General features: G+C 50.0%; 2 protein-coding genes across 10 annotated transcripts in view, besides 7 other annotated features; one reads left to right on the forward strand and one right to left on the reverse strand.

Moving 5' to 3' along the window:
* Positions 2,525–3,365: an enhancer, noted in NCBI's record as "NANOG-H3K27ac-H3K4me1 hESC enhancer chr14:38057104-38057944 (GRCh37/hg19 assembly coordinates)". NCBI's record gives its function as "activates a minimal SCP1, AML or CMV promoter by ChIP-STARR-seq in naive and primed H9 embryonic stem cells {active_cell/tissue: H9 hESC(naive and primed)}" and the evidence as "EXISTENCE:reporter gene assay evidence [ECO:0000049][PMID:30033119]".
* On the reverse strand, positions 4,178–9,875 carry FOXA1 (forkhead box A1). Its single transcript, NM_004496.5, has 2 exons — positions 9,527–9,875; positions 4,178–7,337 (listed from the first exon to the last, which is right to left on the reverse strand). Exons 1-2 carry the CDS (start codon positions 9,596–9,598, stop codon positions 5,991–5,993), a joined length of 1,419 nt encoding a protein of 472 aa, NP_004487.2. The 5' UTR covers positions 9,599–9,875; the 3' UTR covers positions 4,178–5,990.
* Positions 5,829–6,378: an enhancer, noted in NCBI's record as "H3K4me1 hESC enhancer chr14:38060408-38060957 (GRCh37/hg19 assembly coordinates)". NCBI's record gives its function as "activates a minimal SCP1, AML or CMV promoter by ChIP-STARR-seq in naive H9 embryonic stem cells {active_cell/tissue: H9 hESC(naive)}" and the evidence as "EXISTENCE:reporter gene assay evidence [ECO:0000049][PMID:30033119]".
* Positions 9,811–10,670: an enhancer, noted in NCBI's record as "H3K4me1 hESC enhancer chr14:38064390-38065249 (GRCh37/hg19 assembly coordinates)". NCBI's record gives its function as "activates a minimal SCP1, AML or CMV promoter by ChIP-STARR-seq in naive H9 embryonic stem cells {active_cell/tissue: H9 hESC(naive)}" and the evidence as "EXISTENCE:reporter gene assay evidence [ECO:0000049][PMID:30033119]".
* Positions 9,811–11,383: a biological region, named in NCBI's record as "P300/CBP strongly-dependent group 1 enhancer GRCh37_chr14:38064763-38065962".
* Positions 10,184–11,383: an enhancer, noted in NCBI's record as "P300/CBP strongly-dependent group 1 enhancer chr14:38064763-38065962 (GRCh37/hg19 assembly coordinates)". NCBI's record gives its function as "activates an origin of replication core promoter dependent on BRD2, BRD4, P300/CBP, MED14 and CDK7 cofactors, with strong dependence on P300/CBP, by STARR-seq in HCT116 cells {active_cell/tissue: HCT116}" and the evidence as "EXISTENCE:reporter gene assay evidence [ECO:0000049][PMID:35650434]".
* The window catches only part of TTC6 (tetratricopeptide repeat domain 6), a 247,089-nt gene continuing 237,682 nt past the window's right edge, over positions 10,255–19,661 (forward strand). For all 9 annotated transcript variants that reach the window (XR_007064009.1, XR_001750287.2, NM_001310135.5 and 6 more), the window contains exon 1: positions 10,255–10,634. The gene's annotated coding sequence lies outside the window, so the exon portion shown is untranslated. The remainder of the gene's footprint in view (positions 10,635–19,661) is intronic.
* Positions 13,810–14,481: an enhancer, noted in NCBI's record as "H3K4me1 hESC enhancer chr14:38068389-38069060 (GRCh37/hg19 assembly coordinates)". NCBI's record gives its function as "activates a minimal SCP1, AML or CMV promoter by ChIP-STARR-seq in naive H9 embryonic stem cells {active_cell/tissue: H9 hESC(naive)}" and the evidence as "EXISTENCE:reporter gene assay evidence [ECO:0000049][PMID:30033119]".
* Positions 14,482–15,151: an enhancer, noted in NCBI's record as "H3K4me1 hESC enhancer chr14:38069061-38069730 (GRCh37/hg19 assembly coordinates)". NCBI's record gives its function as "activates a minimal SCP1, AML or CMV promoter by ChIP-STARR-seq in primed H9 embryonic stem cells {active_cell/tissue: H9 hESC(primed)}" and the evidence as "EXISTENCE:reporter gene assay evidence [ECO:0000049][PMID:30033119]".

Raw genomic sequence — 19,661 nt, forward strand, 5'->3', positions numbered from 1 at the left:
AGCGGTAGTTGGCGCCCAGGGTTGAGCCGCTGTTGGGTTACGGGTGTATAGCTGGACTGCGGTAGTGAAGCACAAAGCCCCCAAGTGGGACCCAGAGCTAGGGGAACGTTCCAATAATATCCTAGTCACCTGAATCATGCAAAGAAATTCCGCTTTCCAGGAGCACGGGACTAGGAGGGCGCCTACTTCCTCCCTGGTGCATAATGGGCCCTTAAAATTAAATATACAAAGGATACAAACCGCCGCAGAGCTCCTTAAAGTCTTTTCATTAAATTGTTTGTGTTTTAAAACAATCTTTGGCGTAAGAGAGAGAAACCAGAAAACTGACCCGGGATATGAGCAGGCAAGCAAAAGAATAACAAATGTACTCCTTTTTAAAAGTGTGTGTGTGTTGGGGGGGGGGGCGGGGGGATTGGCTAAGGAGGTTTCCAATTTAATTCATTGTTCCCAATTTGCAGGCAATAGCAATGCTTTGGGGGGAATTTCCAGGTTGTTTTTTTCCTTGGTTTCAGAAATTAAATAAAGAGAAAAGAAAAAGCCCCTGATGTGTAATCTTGAAGGGGAGTTGAGAGACGTAAAAAGTTAAACCAAGGCAACCTCACACTTAAATTCTGAGTCAGGCCTGCCGTTGGTGTCACTGGCCTGGTTCTTGATTTCGCCAGTGACTTGACCCGCATTCCACCTGGATTCTGATGTATTCGAGCACGATTCTACTTAAGCCCTTTCCTTCCTGGATTTTGAGGGAGAATATCTTGCCTCTGTCCTTTAGGTTGACTGGAACATAGAGAACCCCAAAAGATCACGGAGTGGCACCCAGAAAAAGGAGGGCTCCTTATTTCCCGGGACTGCAAGGGGGAGGAGTGCTCACTCTCACCATGTGCTTTGCTCTTACACTGTAGTCACAGCTAACATAATTGGAGAAATAAGGAAGTTAAATAGAAAAAGAAAGGTGGCAAGTGAGGATTTCCCCCTTGTCAGGTGTTTTAAAATGTTTATAACAGGAAAATTCATGCATTTTACAAGTTAAAATTGAATGGCATGGGTATTTTCCAGCCCCAGATTGCTTGGTAAAATGATGGTGGAGAACAAAAAGGTGAGGGCTGCAGTCCTAGCTGGCCAAAGTTCAAAGAACCATGCTGGGCTGGGGCTAAAAGAAAAACCAATGGAATTATTATGCCCCCAAACTTAGCTATTTGGAAGAAAAAACACAAGATTTAAGGTAATCTGTTGTTAAATGTTATTTGGATACACTAACATCGTGCATGAAAATAAAACTTGTGTAAGTGGCTACTTTAAGAAACGCTTTACCTTTCCAAATCAATTCTATTTATAAACAGGAAGATTGTGAAATATTCATGTTTTTTTCATTTCATTTTCTTACATTCTTACTCTCATGAGAATCTATTGATTCTAACGATTCTTTCAGTTTGAGAAAATTTTGTTTTTAAATTTCAGCATAATTTGATTACCTATTTAGTTCTAGATATCTTTAAAACAATCATCTTTTTGCATATAACTATCTTGGAGTAATTAGGCATGCTCTTAACTCCATTTAGTTGCAAAACACACTTTATTACAATTCAAATAAACAATTGGTATTTAATTTTTGAAGGCAAAATATTTCCTACAAAGGTATAAAATGTCTACTAACTTATTTAAGCTATTTTATTTTTCAACGAATTTTTTCCTGTTGACATTGAGGGATCACATTAAAATACATTATAGCTAAATGTTCTACAATATTACTGCTAAATCAACAGAAAACCAATTGATCTTGAGGAAAGGTTAATTAATTTGGGTGACAGGTCTTCTACTTTGGCCAGCATTGGAAGGAATTTGTATTGATCTCGGCAGTTTTTTGCAAAGAAACTTAAGCATGTTTGTGGAATTGAGACCAATTTTTTAAAATGCCAAAACAAGGGCTTACATTTTTATCACTTCAGGACTTCTTTTCTGTTATGGCTCGTTCAAATCTGTTAGACTTCTAAGAAATATAATGTTTTTATGCTTTCAGTGAAATCAATTAGGTATCTAGCCTTCAGAAAATGAAAACAGAGGTTGGGAGCTTTACTAGGATCTTGTTTGTTTTAATCCCTCCTTCCCTAATAATTCTCATCAGTTTATCCTGTATGAGGGGGATCACAAAGGGACAATGGAAATTAAATTTTGCCTTTGATGTAAACACTGTATTAGCCATCATGTAGAAAATGGACGGAACTGCCTTCTACTTCCGAACACCTGTGAGTTGTTTAGTTTTTGCTGAATAGAACTGGTGAGCTTTTCTTCTTCCCTATCTTTGGTTCTGTTTTTGTCACCTTAAAAATGTTTCATACCTGCCCTTCCTAAATGCAAGGTGAGAGTAACAATTGCAGCTCCCCTCCCCTGTCCTATGCTCACTCCCAAAACATTTGTTTTTTTCTTTTTTGTAAAAATGTTTGCTCGGTAGCGTTGGTGGGTCCGAGCGCCACCGGAGCTGTACACTTGGGTCAGGAGGAAGGCTTTCCCTCCTCGCCCCTCTTCGCCCCCTCCCTCCCCTCCCCGGGGACCCCTCCCCCATCTCGGGCGAAATTCCTAAGACCAGCGAGCAGGAGCACCGCGGCGGGACGGTCAGCAGCCCCTTTCCGGCCCTGGTCTTCGGGAGCTGGCGAGGTGAAGAAATGTGGAAACACCCAGACGAAAAGGGGATGGGGTGGGGGTCGCAGGAAGGCGGCGCCCTCAGGCAGGGTCTCCGCACTCCCTCGGAACCACAGATGTTTTCTTCCTGACCCAGGGGCGCGGCGCCCCAGCCCGGGCGCCCGGGTGTTTGTGTGTCCGGGTTTCCGAGGAAGGGATTACGCAGCGGGAGCAGCCGCGGCAACGCGGGCCGCCGGGGCCGCAGGAGCCGTAACGAGGCGGCTGGCCTTCTTTGTTGACTTTTAGGTCCCGGGCTCAACAGGAGATTTATTCGCTAGGAAGGGAAAATGCCCAAACAATGAAGAACTATCTGCACTTGTCACCTCGAGACGCTTGCTGTCCTGCTCTGTCCGCCTTCCCTGGCAACCAGCTGTCCTGGCCGCCAACCCGCGCGCGTCCTAACGCGCGGGTGGCAGGTCGCATCACCCAGAGGTGGCGGAGTGTGCGGTCTGAGAACTGCGAGAAGCCCACAAAGCAGGGGCTGGGCCTGCAGGCTCCCCGCGGTCCAGCTCCCGAGGCAGGTCTCCAAAGTGCCCCCGTCCCCCGCATAACTAGAAAATGTCTCCGGCAAGTAACAGAGCGAGAGCTAAGGCCAACTTAAGCTTGGTGGGGTGAAGGCAAGGCGCTGATGTTTCTAATACGTTGAAAAGGAGAAAGGGAACATCACAGAGAGGACAGCACAGAAGTTAAACATCTTAGATTCAGTGGGGGCGGGATTCCGAGGCCCAAGCCCACGCCTTTATATTACATTTGGAAGCTGAATTTGTTTACCTTATGTAAATAAGAGTAACTGTTGGGATTGGAAGCTTTTTCCTCTCTTTGGGACTTTGATGTCCTTCCGAGGTCTCCAAATTAGGGTTTGAAATTATTCAAACCAGTAATTTCCCTCCCCTCCTCCTTTCATTAACTGAAGTGAGTGGGGGTTTGGGATTTCTGGATTTTTTCAAGTGCTACATGGCACCCTTTCTCTCATCTGGGGAGGCAATTACGCGATAATTAAGCGACTCACACGGCTCTTTTTATCTTGTCCGCGGTGTGGAGTGGGGCGATCAAAGTAAAGGCTGTCCAAGTTCAAGCCCTGGTGAGGATGGAGTTCATACACAAGGGCTCAGGCAGGCAGGCCTCTGCTTGAGCTGGTGTTGTTATTGTTGATGTCAATCCGAACAAGACTTACAAAGAAATAGGTGGACTGGAAAGTGAGCCTGCTATCAAAGGAGATTAATGATTTTGTGATCCCAAGCAACTATGGAGTGTGAAGTTGCATTTAAAAGCTCCTTAGAAGGAAACAAATTATCAACTTTAAGTTCTTAGGAACGACATTTTTGAATCAAAATTTAAAACAATCTTCACAAAATGCAAAATAGCGGCTACCCTAAAATGTCCTGTCGGTACAACGCTTCCCCTGCGAGAGTGAATTAACTCCCCTCCTCCCACCTCCTCCAGAGCTACCCTGATGGCTAAGTTTCGTTTCTCTTTTAATGAGAAGAGAGTTCATGAGTCTCCGTTGGACACAACTTAATTCTATCAGCCACAGCTGATATTTTATTTTCATTGGAAGAATTCTCAGATAAAGAAAAGTGATACATTGGGGAAGGAGGAAAGGTAGTTAAATTAATATTTGATTTTGTAGTGAAAAGGCTCAAAGGAAACACAGAAGGCTTAAGCCGGTGTCAAAAAAAAAAAAAAAAATGAAGTAAACATCACTGGGAATAAAGAATCTTAAAAATCTCAACTCTTGGAATATTAAATCAACTTATACACTTTACTTGAATTTCTTTCACTCCTTTTTACTAGCTACACATTCATTATAACAACAGACAAAACAATTTTATTTTCATTTTTGTCATTTATATTCAGTTCTAGAATTTGAAAAATATCGTATTCAGAAATATTCACTTCGGATTTAGTTAAGTGAAAAAAAATAACAGAAATGCTCTTTTGTTAACATTTGATTTATTTAAAGTCCTTAACTGCAAATGATCAAGAACATTTTCCACGGCTTAAAATCTGGTATTATTTTTGTTATTTAAATCAAAATATTTTTAATTACAATCACATTGATAAAAATTAACAATTTAATTTGTAATTTTAACCATCATTTAAAGCAATTTCAGCTGTAAAGAAAAAGAATAAACCATGCAATAAATTAACATTGAGAAAGCAAAGAGAAATAATAATGAAACCCGTCTGGCTATACTAACACCATGTCCAACTGTGGAAAGTGCATAACACTGGATGAAACAAGCACACGATGGCAATGATTAAAATGGCCACTATCAATAGGATTTTTGAATCTTGGACCACGTTTTGAAATCCAGCTCCCTATAACTTATCTCTCCTCCAACATTGTAATATTCCCTTTTACTGAAAAAAAAATTCTTTAAATGGTATACACTCATAGAAACTAATTTTATGTGTTATGTGACCTCAGAATGACATGACCATGGCACTCTGCAAAGCAAGAAGCAGAGTTCTTGAGGGCAATTCCTGAGGAATTGATTCCCAGGGCCATCTGTGGGTAGAGAGGACAAAGGGGTTGGGGTCCTTGTAACTTTCGGTCAAGCAACTCTTGAGAATGTATCATGTATATCACCTATCTATTACCTCTATATGTTATGTAAATATACGGAGGATGTCTACACATCTGAGCATGTGCATAATTAAGTCCATACACAATATACATGTATTTCATTTAAAGACATCTGCTATCTGCATGTATCAGAAATGTAAACTGAGAAGCAAATGGCTCTGATGTTTATAATCTGTTTATGTCTTGCTATATAACAGCAGTATTGTCTTTCAATACTTTTAAGAGCCTCTAGTGTATACTTGTTTCTTCACCATTTCAATTCTTATGGTTAAGAGTATTGCCACAGACCTGTAAACTCGTAGGGGGTCAGGTAAGGAGGGGGAAAAAGCACAAACAAATATTTTACAAACTTGACCATCTTCCTTTTTTGTTTTTTTAAATAACCCTCCACAAACTAGAATGTCTGGAGGGGAAAGAGGGAAGAAAGAGAGGGGGGCAAGGAAGGAGGAGAATTTCATATATACACTTGTGGATCATTAAACTTCGCAGGAAAAAAATTGGTTTGGGGTTGTCTTTGTAGTAATATACACAATGAATTTTGAATACAATAATAAAGTAACAGTCTTTTGCACTGGGGGAAAGGTTGTGCATGAAAAATGAAATAAAAATAGTTGTTGGGATTTTATTATGCTGTTGACGGTTTGGTTTGTGTGGTTTTGTTTGCTGTTGATTTTTTCTCTCTTGCTACCAGCATGGCTATGCCAGACAAACCCCCCAGTCCCGGGAGCTAGGAAGTGTTTAGGACGGGTCTGGAATACACACCTTGGTAGTACGCCGGCTCCAGGGCTGAGGGCTCGATGGGGCTCCTGGTGGTCACCGAGGCGCTGCCTAGAGGCAGGCTGGCGGGCAACGTAGAGCCGTAAGGCGAGTATTGCAGTGCCTGTTCGTATGCCTTGAAGTCCAGCTTATGCTGCTGCTCCGAGGAGGACATGAGGTTGTTGATGGAGAACGGGTGGTTGAAGGAGTAGTGGGGGTCCCCTTTCAGGTGCAGCTGGGACTCGTGGGGTGCCAAGCCGTGTGCCGGGTGAGAGGCGGGCACAGAGGCCAGCGCCCCGGGCCCGGAGCTTATGGGGGGCGCAGTTGAGGAGGCTGGAGTCTTCAACTCCGAGGCGCCCCCTGTCGCCGTCGCCCCACTGTGGTCCAGAGTCTGGGGGCTGGCGGCGGGCCCGGGGGCCGGCGCGCCCTCTAGCTGGCCGGTCTTCCCGTGCACACCCCGATGGAGGGGCGAGTCGGCGCTGGGGTTAGAGGCGCCAGAGGGGTCCTTGCGGCTCTCAGGGCCGCCCTTGGCGCCGCTGCCCCCGCTTCCGCTCCCGCCCCCGCCGCCGGCCCCCGGCTGCTTCTCGCACTTGAAGCGCTTCTGGCGGCGCAAGTAGCAGCCGTTCTCGAACATGTTGCCGGAGTCCGGGTGCAGCGTCCAGTAGGAGCCCTTGCCCGGCTTGTCCGGGGAGCGTGCCACCTTGACGAAGCAGTCATTGAAGGACAGCGAGTGGCGGATGGAGTTCTGCCAGCGCTGCTGGTTCTGCCGGTAATAGGGGAAGAGGTCCATGATCCACTGGTAGATCTCGCTCAGCGTGAGCATCTTGCTGGGCGCCTGCTGGATGGCCATGGTGATGAGCGAGATGTACGAGTAGGGCGGCTTGGCGTGCGGGTAGCTGCGCTTGAACGTCTTGGCGTCGCCGCCGCCGCCCGCGCGGCTGCGGCCCAGGTTGGACGGCGCGTACGCCATGGGGCTCATGCACGGGTTCATGGCGGCCGCGTAGGGGCCCAGGCCATTCATGGAGGCCGCCTGCTGCGCACCCATGGCGCCCATGCCGCTCGGGCTCAGCGCCGTACCCATGGCCGTCACGCCGGCCGCAGTCATGCTGTTCATGGCGCCCGCCGAGCCCCCCGGCATGCCGGCTACTGCGCCGGGACTCAGGCCGGCCCCTAGGCCCGGGTTGGCATAGGACATGTTGAAGGACGCCGGGGTCATGTTGCCGCTCGTAGTCATGGTGTTCATGGTCATGTAGGTGTTCATGGAGTTCATGGAGCCCAGGCCTGAGTTCATGTTGCTGACCGGGACGGAGGAGTAGGCCTGGAGTGGAGACAGCGAGTGAAGAAGCCCCGGAGGGCGGGGTTAGTGGTGGGCACTGGAGGGCGGCCGTCCGGGACCTAACCCGGGGGCAAGTGCAGAGCACTTTGCAGAACACGGGACGCCCCCACCCGGGGCAAATGGCTAAGCGCCCTCCCCAGACCGAGCAAAGATGTCTTGCACGGCAGGGGGAAAATCCTAGCGCGGCAGGCATGAAAGATAAACGCTCACAGAAAATATGACCCCAGGAAGATGTGTAATCGCCTTACACGCCAGGCTCAGGGGCTGGCTTCCAGGGCCCCCTCATCGCCTCCTCCATCCACGCCAGGCGGTATCCCAAGTCTCCACCCCAACCAGCCTCGGCAAAGCGCCCTTTGGGGGGAAATCGTTGATAGAGCAAATCACCTATGGACATGGGACCCCCTGAATCATCTGTTTCCCAACAAGTGGCTTTATTGTCCTAGGGGTTTTTGCCTATGGTGACTTTTTGTTGTTTATTGTATTTAGAAGTAGTGTTTTCTACCTGCTTGTAGCAACTGTAATGTTAAAAGGGAAGCAAACTCAGAGTTAAATAAGTTTTGGAAAAATAAAACTAAAAGTAGATCCATAACAGAAAGGGCTGGGAGGGGGTGCTATAATAATCTCAAAGTGCTATATGCATTTTATTTTAACATGACTTTACATGTACACCTTTGCAAGCTATTTAGAAACTCGCATTAATTTTGTCACCACTTTACAGTCCCCTGTTTGAAAAATTTGGTGACACAGTTTGTCAAAATAAATCTTTTTTTTTTTTCACATGCTGATGTTGCTGCCGATGATTTCAACGCCTGGCTTTGAGATTCCGTGAGTAGTCTTGAATAATTTAAAATTCGAAAATCAAATTCTACTTATTTTCTCTTAATGCTATTGTATTTCCTAATTCTCAGCTTTAACATGTAAGAAAGTACTTTCGCTAGGGGTCTTAATTGAATGGTGGGGTCGAGATGACTGCGTCAGAATTAAATCTCTGGAAGACCTCTGAGCTCCTTTTAAAATCATCAACAAGCGAAAATCCTTATCAATAGCGATGTGGGAATGCATTAGGTACAGTATTTTAAACATACAAAACCTAGGCATATTAAAAAGCACTCCTCTGGTAATTTAATAAGGAATAATGATGTCCTTAAGTTTATTTTAATCAGCAAGTATGACTCAATTTGAAAATATGAGAACAAATAGATTTAAATAGGAACACCCAGTAAACTATGGTATGCAAATAAACTCAGAGGTAAACTTGTGAATACATAAATCTAAATAAGTCAGTTACCATCAAAATATTACGTGATCCTATATTTTTCTGTCCACGTCTTAAAAGTATTTTTTACCTTGGGGCTTTATTTTCTTTCCCTCTTCCCAAGATTATCCAAGGCAGTTCCAATACGCGTTTTCAATAATGGTAATTAAACTTTTGGAGGGTAATCGCCAGCTGTTTCCAGAAAAATACTTTTAATAGGTGGTAGTCCTCCCTGTAACTGGTTTTCCCTGTAATCCTTTTGTGCACATTGTAAAAATAACCCCCATGAACGTGCCACCAAGGGGACAATGAAGAGAAACAGGTTCTCGGCCCAGAGTTGTGAAGAAGATTTTGGTCGCACTAGCGCCACCCAGCGGTTTTAGAGAAGGAGCACACTTCTCCCCAAATAGGGCTTTTGAAGAACAAGTTTTACAAAATTTAGAAATCGTTTCATTATTGAGACACCCAACTTGGCGGCAGAGCGCTTTAATCAGAAGACGTCTGCGAATTAAACGGTGGGACGAAGAGGTCGCCTTGTGGGTATGCTCCGGCTTTCTCAGAGTTGCTTCCAACTCGCACCGGCGCTCGCCCGCCCGCTGCACCCCGGGCCCGGCTCCTGCTCCCGCTCGCTGCTGGGAAGAGGCAAGCGCTTCCTAGAGCCGCTGTTTTCAAAGCCCGGAGTTTCCTAAAACTCCCTCTCCGGCTGCGAGAGTCGGGACAGAGCAGGGCAGCAGGTCCCGCTTCCAGGCCCGGCCAAGGCCCGGCCGGGGCCACACCGGCGGGCGGGCAGCGGTGGCACCGAGAAGGCGCCCCCGGCCCGCCTGCCTGCCTTGCCTGGCGCCCACCGCTCCCCGGCCTCCCCCGGCACGGGCTCCAGCGGCGCCCCACCGGCCGCCCGCCTCGCCTTGCCTCTCACCTCCTGCGTGTCTGCGTAGTAGCTGTTCCAGTCGCTGGTTTCATGCCCTTCCATCTTCACAGTTCCTAACATCCTGGAGCCACCCTGCCCAATACAACCATCCAGCCCTGTGCGAAGCGACGGGCGGCCGCGCGGCGCGGGGCGGGGGAGGGGAGCTGAGCAGCTGCAGTCACCCGAGCGCCCGCGCGGGCCCAACGCCACCCGGGCGAAGAGGAAGCCCAGAGCTGCGGGGCGCGGCGTGCGCGGCGGCGGCGGCGGCGCGGCGGGCGGGGGCAGCGCCGGGGGCAGGCGGCTGCCGCGGAGCGCGGCGCCGGGGAGCGCCTCCGCGGGAAGTGAGCGGGCTGCCTCTGCGAGGCAAGTGCAGTTGAGCTGATGTGGATCTTACGTCGCTTGAGTGCCCACCTCCTCGTCCTCTCCCCATTTGTCCGCCGCACAAAGACGCTCGCACCTACAAAGCCCGAGGTGCACCTGCAAGGCGGCCGCCCGCCAGTCCGGCCGCCGCGCCTCCCGCCCCGCCGCTTCACCGCTGCGCGCGACCCCTCCCCCGCGACCCCTCCCCCAAGCGGGGCCCTCACTTTGTTTGCAAAGCAGTGTAATTGGTTTAGGCCCGGAGGCTAGGGAAAGAGGGAAATGGGGAGGGAGGGGGTGTAACCCCCTTTGGAAAAAGAAAAAATAGGCGGGGCCAGGCGGGCGGGCGGGCTAGGGCTCTGGATCGGAACCTCGCAGCCGGAGAAGGCCGGGGGCGGTGGCGTCGGAGACTGGGCTTAGAGACCTTGTGGGATAACTGACCCCGGGGTCCCTCCCCAGAGGTACACGCCACCTTCCGAGCGCGGGCTGCGGCCCAGTCTCGCGCCCCTCCTGCTCTTTGCTTCCTCCCTCCTGATTCCTGACCCAAAGTTCAACCCCGGGAGACTGGAGAATACAGACTTTTTTTTTTCTTTCCTCCTGAGAGCTTCAGACTAGAAAAGGGAAAAAGCCCCACTTTTGCTTCGTCACTAGAAACCGGGTCATCTGAGTCAGCCGAGCCAAGTGACGTTAGGCCGACCCGGGCCCCGGGCTAGCAGAGCGGAGGCGCTGCCACGAAACTCGTACCTGCGGCTAAGAGCAGGTGAGTCACAGCACCGGTTTATATCTTTATGACATAACTTTTTTTTTTTGTTCCGCCTCGGTCCGCTCCTCTCCCCTTGTCATCTGTAGCGACCACAAAGAGGAAGAAACTGAGAGCAGATGTCTGTGTGATAGGGCAGGCGGACCCAAGTCGGGCCGTCCTCCCCCTGCCGGGCTCCTCCTCCCGCCCCCCTTCAGCCGCTTCAGGGAGTGAGCTGGAGACGACCGTCTGGTTTCTGATAGGAAAAGGTCAGGGGGAGGGGACATCTCCCATAACACGCGCGTTAGCTGGGAGAGCAAGGGCCTGGGCGCGGGAACGCATCTGCACTGCGAAAGAGATGCCAGGCAGAAGCCCGAGACTGCCCGCAGCGGCGCTTGGTCCTGTCTGTGACCCGGAGGGTCCGGGCTGAGATCTCAGGGGCTCGCTTGGTTCCTAATCGGTCCTGGACGTCGGTGGGAGAGTCTTCCCAACGCAAAGTCTCTTTACTCTCATGAGGCCCTGGGTGGTGGTTGCCCACTTGTCCTGGGAGAGAGAACAACTGAAGTGACCGGGTGATAGGCAATTAGTTGGTGATAGATTGGGAGATGGTGCGTGTGTTTTGAGTGTGTGACCGTTTGTATATTTCTGAGCATGTGTGACTGTGTGTGTTTCTGAGTGTCTGTGACCATGTGTTTGTTGTACTGCCTGTAGAACCACTAGGTTTCCTTAAGTAACAATAAAATAAAATCTAAAGTAATTAAGAATCCGCAAAATCTTCTTGTTTTGCAAAGTTTTTAAAATGTTATTAATCTCATTTTAAGAAATGTGTTTTAACTTGTCTTCCAAACAGATACCTTTTTCCCTGTGCTTTGTTCTTTTAAATCTCTTTTACTTGAAATCTGGCAAGAGAATCACTTTAAATCCCTGAACCAAACAAATCTCTTAAGTCAGCAGGGGAGCAGAGAGGGTGAAGATGTGCAGTTAAGGAAATAAAAAAAGATAAAAGCATTGGATTACATTTTTTTTTTTTTTTTTTACAAAAAGGGTGGGGGGGTAGAAACGTCACATCATAAGGAAAGGAATGAGTGAAATTAAATCCACCTGGAACTCAGTAGGGCAGGAACCCTCCCTAATGCAGCCTGCTCCTGTGACTGCAAGTTGTCCCATCAGTTTGTGTAAATGTATCTGCGAATTGTGTGTCAGAAACTAATTCTTTTGTGCAAAGTTCCCATTAGTAGCTGACTTTAGTTCCATTTGTAAAGTATACGGATGCTTAGCTTCCTGGGCCTGATCCGGGGGACTTTCAGTGCTAATGAGCTTCCTTGTTCCTTCTGGAGGTGATTCTCCAATACCCTCTTGGCTCTTCAATAACACCGAGCAAGACTAGGTTATTTTCTACCGAGAGTAACAATTTATGGATAGTAATAGCTTTTATAGTGCACAAAAAAGTTGGCGCTTTAAGTAGGGGAAAAACACTGTCACCTTAAAGGGGGGGTCAATTACAATATCAAATGTTCTTTTAGCCCACTTCCCAAACCTACTAAGTCTCATATTTTCAAAAAAAAAAAATTGACTTAAGAAAAAAAAATCCACTTTTCATAGCGTGATGGCCGAAGCGGAATTTCTCCTAGGCTTCTTCAAAGCCCAAGACCGGTGATGCAGAATGGACTCTGCCAGCTTCGGAGACTTGATCCAGGTCAGGGATCCCAGGTTCGCAGCCGGGGGATTTCCACGAAAACAGCGCCTCCTGTCGTGGAGAGGGAAAGCTGAATTTTCCCGCAGGCGCCTCCGGGGAGCACCGCCAGGCGATACTGGATTGAACTCCGCACGCATCCCAGTCAGGGATTTAGGTTCTTAGAGCCGAGGCCAAGATGGAAGGAGAGATGGCCGTTCGTCCAGCTCCCAGCCTCTCTCCATCTCAGTGGCCGCATTGCAAGATACCTAACAAATTTAGGAGGTGAGGTTCTAGTGTACCCAGATGCCAGCCAGTCACTTTCCCTGAGGTTTAAAAGCGAATCAGCAGGGTCGTGTTGGGTCTTTGACTTGGAAATGCATACATACATACATAAAGTAATGCTGCTGTCTGGGAGTTGCTGGCCAGTCGGTAGCCAGGTCCAGCGGCTGCAGCCTGCTCTTTTCCAACCTCTTTTCCCAAATAGGCACCTACACCATTGGAAACTGTGCTTTGCAAGGATTGTGCTGCTCGTTGGAGGAAACCAGGCCTGTCTTCAGCTGTGGGGAGGATGGGTGGACTCGGGGCAGGGTACCCGCGAGGGCAGGCACGTGGCGGCTCCTGCGGTGTCCCGGGTTAAACTTGCCTGTGTTTAAGACGGGTCTGCGACAGCTTGGGGCGGTCCAGGTCGCGGGGAGGGCGGGCTCCTCAAGTGGGGGATCCGCGGCAGTGAGGACTGTAGGGTGCGCGGGTACTCCGGGTAGCCGCCAGCGGAGGAAGCGGCTCCGCCCTTCCCGGAAGCTGCCCTTGCTACACCCGTGGGGCCTGCTCCCGGCGCAGTCCCGCAGTACCTGAGCGGCACTCGGTCCTTTGACCACGCTTGGCTGCCTCAGCTTACACTTCCCAGCAGGATCTGGCTGGGAGCCCCTTCCTCAGATATTCACCAGGCAGGTAGAAGCAGAGGGAGACGACGGCGAAAGGTGGAAGGAGAGGCCGCGGCCTCGGGCCTCGGGCCCCGGGCCCAGACGGCGGCCTCTCGCGGCGACAGGGTCCTTCCTATTTAGCAGGACCGCAGGGTTGGCAGACAGCAGGGCCTGGGCCGGCGGGGCTCTGCGGTGCCCATTCGAGTCTCTCCAGGGCTTCCCTCTGTGGCTGTCCCTCGCCTGCCCCCTTTCCTTGCCTACCCTTCCCTGGACGGGGTTGTTGTCAGGTGACGGCTTCAGCAACCCAGCCATGCTTGGTGTGGAGTGGTTCGAGTTCCTCCGCGGGCCCCCACCCCCCACCCAGATAAGAAGCTTAAGTCCTCCTTCTGCAGGGGAGAATCGGATGCAATGAAACTAAGACCTGTGGTCGTTAACGCGGTTCAAAGCCGACCCCAACTGGGACACGGCTCAGCTTAGAAGTGAGGAAGGCCTGGGACGCTGGAAACAAGGGGTCACACGTGCGTGTGCCTGGCCTTCGCAGGTGGATGTGTGCGCCGAGCTGGGGAAGGGGCCAGGGAGCCGCGAGACTGCGGTCCCCCGCGAGAGAGAAGTATGGGCCTGGCCAGGGTTCGAACTCCGTTCCTTCGCTGCCTTCCTTTTATTTTTCTTCCTCATCTTCCTTCCTCTCTCCCTTGGTTCCATCATTAAATCTTTAAGGGATTAATTCACAACTCTGTAGTAGGTAGGGGCCCTGGGACCACTTGACGGGCCTTTGCAGGCAGTTCTGTACAGAGTCCTAACCCGTAACGGGCCTCAACCCCGGCTGTGTGTGCGTGTGCTTGTGTCTGTGTGTCTTTGTGTGTAAAAGCAACGCATAAACATACCCAGGGCTTTCACTTATTTTATTGAAGCAAACAAACAAAAACAGCCACTGGGTTTGTCTTTTCCCCTACTCCTGCCTGAGCGCCGCCGGGTTTCTGAGCTGCTCCGGGCGCGGACCTAGCTCACCCGCAGCCGGATGTCGGAGCCGGAGCTGCTCCCCACCCGGCCTCGCCCGCGGGCGACAAAACCGTCCCTCTGGCCACGGGAGAGCATCGCCTTGCCAAAATCAACTCGCATTTTCATGTATTCAAATGAGAAAGACTGAGAAGGGCGATTTCCCCTGCTGGGCAGTCGACAGCGTTGGAAGGAAGAAGTGCCCCCTAGGGCCTCGCGGAAACGGGAACAAACCTCCCTCGAGGCCCCCGGAACCGATATGGCGACCCCGCCCAGACCTGGGTCCCCGCGGCCGCGCGCGTCTCCCGCCGTTGTGGCCCCCGAGTTACTGACTTTTGTTCACACCGGTCAGCGCCTGTTGGAGGACGTGCTCAGCCCCAGCCGGTCCCTCCTCATCCAGCCGATCCCCCTCCTGGGGAGCGCGGTCTCTGCTCTGTGCTGCTGAAAGGATCCTCGGGCTTTCCCGCTCTACTTTAAAACCCCTAGGGCTAGGGGCCTAGGGGAGGGACTGGCAATGCACGCTTCACACAAAGAGGTGGAAAATTAGAGGGAAACGTGACACCTCTTAGGTATCCGTTAGAGCAGAAAGGACCTGAGCAGCTGAGGTCCTACTGCGTGCCACAGACTTGGCAGGGTGCTTGGAGATCCTGGCGTTTCCCCACCTGCTGCTCCTGTGTGCAAGAGCTGGGAGGCTGGAAACCTGGGCGAGGGTAGGTCAGGACCTCCATTCCTCTCCATCAGCAGAAGCCCGCGTTAATGCAGAGCAGTGATGGAAGCCGAGGGGCTTGGAAAAGTCAACTATTTCATCTCCTGCCTCAAGGCTGGCAGCTTAAATCTAAATCCTTCCTGAAGGGTCGACCAGTGTTTAGCTTCTCCGTCCCAGGCCGGCCAGCCCCCGCCAATCCACTCGCGCCCCTCCCCCCACACACCCAGGAGCTTTCCCACGGTCTTTCAGTTGTCCCTGGTGGTTTAGCTTTGGCTATTCATATGTGATTACCCTCAAATTACATGGCACTATTTAACAGATGCTTTAATAAGAATCATATGCCATATCCTTCACTTAGAAAGAAAATAAAAATATATTCTGCCGGAAGTTTTTCATTGTATCAGTTTTCTGATTTCCCCCCATATTTTGAAATTATGCTTTGGACTGCTGACTAATTTACTGGCATGCCTAGAGGGAGATTATCTTCATTACTTAAAATTCGATTGGAGAGCACTGTTGGGTGGCTGCTTCTGGGACTTCCAGCAGCTATTCCAAGAGCTAACATCAGAGGAAAGTTTTGTTTTAAGAGTTGTGCATTTGCATAAAGTTTTTTGATTTTCCTTGTTCTATGGACCACAGAGCAAAACTACTGCTTAGCTTACCTTGCAGTGAGTTTGCTTCTAAACAGAAACACTATGAAGCAGCCTCCTTGGCAGCATTTGCTTTTGCTGGGTTACTAGCAAGATTTGCAGGAACTCTGACCACTTTCTGAATGTTGTAATTTTGGTTGCCTACCAGAATCATGGATCAAAGTAAACAAATGCAGCAGCCACCACTGGACACTACCTGTGGTGGCAAGTCCAGAGCAGCCTCCTGGAGTCCCTGTTAAAAACTTTGCAGCCTTTCACAAACAACTGAGCCCTGCCCTCCTTAGGTCCACACCTTGCTCTGGATGCCTTGCCAGGTTCTTATCACACATCGACAGCAAATTCTATTTGTTTATTTTTCATTTTTTTTCTCTCCCTTACTGGTCTAGTAGCTCCTTGAGGGCAGGCACTGCTGTGTCTCCTGCTGCCAGAGCAAAGCCTGTAGCATAGTAGACTTTGAATAAAGATTTGTTGAGTCAGTCAACTAACTAGCCCATCCCTGAGACTGGCCAGGTTAGCTTCAATCAGGGAAGAATTCCTGAGTCTAGAAACCATATCCATCACATCCAAAGTCCCCAAGTGAGAGGATCTGAGGGACTTGATTCAGCTAGGTGCACTAGGAAAACAAAGGTTTTGTGGAATGAATGGGCCGATGGACTGAGTGAAGAATTGGATGGGAAAGATGCCCTGGCACAGCGAACAGGGTCTCAGACACCTGAGAACCTTGAGCTTCCAAACCCATTGGGTCTGGCTCTTACCCTGTCATCAATGCCTGATTTTAAGCAGTATAATCGGGTGGCATAACAAATAAATGCTCCCTTTCCTGGGCACCTGGACGTGGGCAGAATCAGCAGCTCGCTTTGCCCATATAGGGTGGTCAACGTGTGACCCAAAATCAAACATTTCACTTTTCCTCGCTGTAGAAAGGCAGCATCCACACCTTTCAATAGCAGATATTGACTAAAAGTTGAAGAACCCCACGAATTTTCTGTCAGGCAACACTTTTCACTAGGAGCTGGAAAGGAAACATCGGTGTTTAAATAATATGTTTAAATTGGCAAACAAATAAAGCCGAGCCCACGTAGTGAGAAGGAAAAGCCTTGCACTAGAGCTCTCTATTAGTCCGAGGCTGCGCACCCGGCTTAGAGCGCGCTGAGTGTCCGTTGGGGCCCCTGCTCTTGGGGGCGCCTGGGGCTCTGCGCGCCCGCAGGGCAGGTTTGCGCACCGAGTGTCACAGAAGTGATCTTCCTCGGTACCGGCCTCTTAGCTGGCCGTGGCGGAGACAGCGCACTTGAAACTACCAGGCGTTGACCTTAATTGCCTCTCTGTCTTATATCATAAGATACAGAGTGTTTTATTCTACATAAGATACAAAGTATTTTATTCTACATAAGATACAAAGTATTTTAGTCTACACACTTGCCATGTGTAATGTAATGATTTCCTTACAGGACCACCAATCTCAGAACCTGCAGTGTTGTGGCAAGGTAATAACTGGAGACCTCTCGTGTCATTTTTTCATCCTTAAATTTTATTTGCCACGAAAGCAGGAGTTGGGGGAGACGTTACAAGAGTAAATATGCCTACCTCCTCTTCTGGGCTGCTATCACTCGAGAAGGCACAAGGCTGTGCGATCCTCCGCCGCATCTGGTGTCCTCGATGTTCCTCCCACCCCCACTGTCCCACCGGGTGGATGAACCCACTGAACCCACGGTTCAGCCGTGGCTCCGATGCGGCGGAGGATCTGCACCCCAACCTTCCTGCTTTCAGGTCCTCTTCTCCAAACTGCACCTTACCCCTGCCCCAGTCACCGCGGTGGGGGAGAGGGGGTCGGAACTTGGATCAAGCCTCACCCACCTTAGAGACTCAGGTTTCGAGTTTTAGCAGATCTGGTGTAGATTTGTTTTCTTTCAAATGCTTGAGGATGCAGTTGGTGGCATGGATCCCACTCTTCTCACCCCACTGGCCTCCTCCCGCCAAAATACCTTCCATTGTGAATTGCTGGTCTCCACTGACCTCCTCATGAACCTCTCCCTACACCCCCGCCAAGAGAAGTAGTTTCAATAAATAAAGCCCAGTGCTGGGGTTGAAGGTCAGTTTACACTGCAGCAGGAGCTTCACAAATTCCTGCAGGTGCTGGATGGGAATAAACCACTGTCCCAAGAGATGACAGAGAGAGAGAAGAAGCGAAGACTGCAGAAGCTGTGTGGAGATGCGGACCTGGCGTTAGGATTGGGGTGGGGCAGCATGGTTCTGACGCTGACCGCAGTGCTGCCGACCTCTAATATGCTAGGGAACCCAGCCAGGCCCTCTGTGCCTCCGTTTCCTCTTTTCCCAAGTGAGGAGCCTGGACCTGATGCCCGGATTCTGGCAATCGTCAGTTGTAGGAACAAAGTCTGGAGTAGTGGCTGGCATGAGAGTCAGCCCTGACGACCTCACCCAGGGAAATGAGGAACCCGTGTGAACCTAAGAAGGAAACCGCTATGGTGGTTGTGGTGGTGGGTGGCTCAGCTCCAGAAGTGGTGAAGCGACTTTCCCGAAAGGGAGGAAGACTCTGGGATAATTGGCACCGCAAAAATTTCCTTCCTTTTTGCTGAATATCCAGGTTTGTGGTATACGGTTTATGGTAAATTTAGGGCGAAAGCTTTCCTCCTTTTCACTGCCTGTCGTCTCCAAAGACAGCAGCAGCAGAAGAGACAGACCAACCTGTCCTCCCAATTTCCAAGCCCAGGCAAAGCCTCCTCAGCGAGGCGAAGGCTCAGCACTCTACACACTCCTCTCCCTAGGGCTGGCAGGCTCAGGCCACTTGTGTCTGAGGCTGAAGATCTCTGAGACTTTTACTCATTAGACAAACTCCATTGGGGGCGTATTCCATGCAATCGACAGTGCAGTCGGACATGTTCAATGCAATTCCGGCTTGGAATCAGACCTGGATTCCAATCGAGATACTGCAGGGGACTAGCTCTCCCTGAGCCTCAGTTTTCCCAACTGTAAAATGGGCATGGGAGTACCCACCTCATACCAGTTGAGTGTAGAATGAGTATGCAATAAGTGGCAACAAAAAGATCCCCCACAATTCTGGGAGCCTGAGAGGTGCTGGATGCTGGGACATGTAGTGTCAGGGGCTGCTGACCAGGTATGCCTCCTGTGCTTTGCCTTCTAGATCTTTTGCATGTTGTCACCATTCTCTGCGTTGTCGCAGTTCCTCCAAGCTACAGTCCAGGAGGAGAAGGGAGCTCTCCCATGGGAACTGGGCTGCCGGGGGGCGGAGTCTCAGTGTCCACCAGGACCCTGCCTGGAATTTCCTAATTTCCTTGACTGGTGGAGCTACTCTCCACCCAGTCAGTGATGGATGACAAAAGAAAAGCACCATCCGAAGGAGATCCAGAGACTGCATCAAGTTCACATTAAGGACCTTCTGGGGTAAGGTGGTTCAAGGGGAGAGGAGATGAGAGGTCTTGAACCTCCTACCCTTTAGGTCCTTCTGAACCAGACTGGGGTAGCAGAACACATTGTCCCTTCCTCCCCCTAGGCGAGAGAGGGAGGATGCCTCCCCAAGAGTCTGCCTGTGCCTTTCCTGGGCTCCTGAGAGTATTGTCGGAGCCCGCCTGAATTTACTAGCTGAACTTGTAGGCGTTGGGTGTCTGGGCATGCCTCTCTCAGAGACCCCGATCATCGCCCTGGCTATGTGTACCTCAGGCAAACACGGGGTTGTGGTTTGGATCTAGGAGGCACCCGGGAAGGAGAGGGGAGATGAGGAAGAGGAAGAAAATGAAATCTGGGCTTCTGAGAAGCCAGTCCATCCTCAGCACCTGAACTTGGGGAGAACTGAGATGAGAAAGCAAGACTCTTGATTTCACTTAGACACTTTCTCCTTCCTCCTCTGCCCTTCTCATGGACAGTAAGGACCACTTATGATTCATTTAGAGAAGTATACTTAGACATTTTCTAAAATCCTGAAAACCCAAGATGTCATTATATCAAGGAAGCTTTAGTTGCTCTCTTCAAAAATTATTTGATTTAAATTCCCTAAAAGTTTCTTCCTGGGAGTTGAAGTCCACCTGAAATGAAACGAGCATGCTGGGCTTATGGTGTATGCTTCCA

The sequence above is a fragment of the Homo sapiens genome, chromosome 14 (assembly GCF_000001405.40).
Source record: "Homo sapiens chromosome 14, GRCh38.p14 Primary Assembly".
Lineage (NCBI taxonomy): Eukaryota > Metazoa > Chordata > Mammalia > Primates > Hominidae > Homo > Homo sapiens.

Coding starts and splice junctions, on each gene's coding strand:
- FOXA1 (NM_004496.5), bottom strand. CDS start 9,598: ATGTTAGGAACTGTGAAGATGGAAGGGCATGAAACCAGCGACTGGAAC. Junction 7,338..9,526: donor ACTACGCAGACACGCAGGAG/GTGAGAGGCAAG, acceptor TCTCCACTCCAG/GCCTACTCCTCCGTCCCGGT.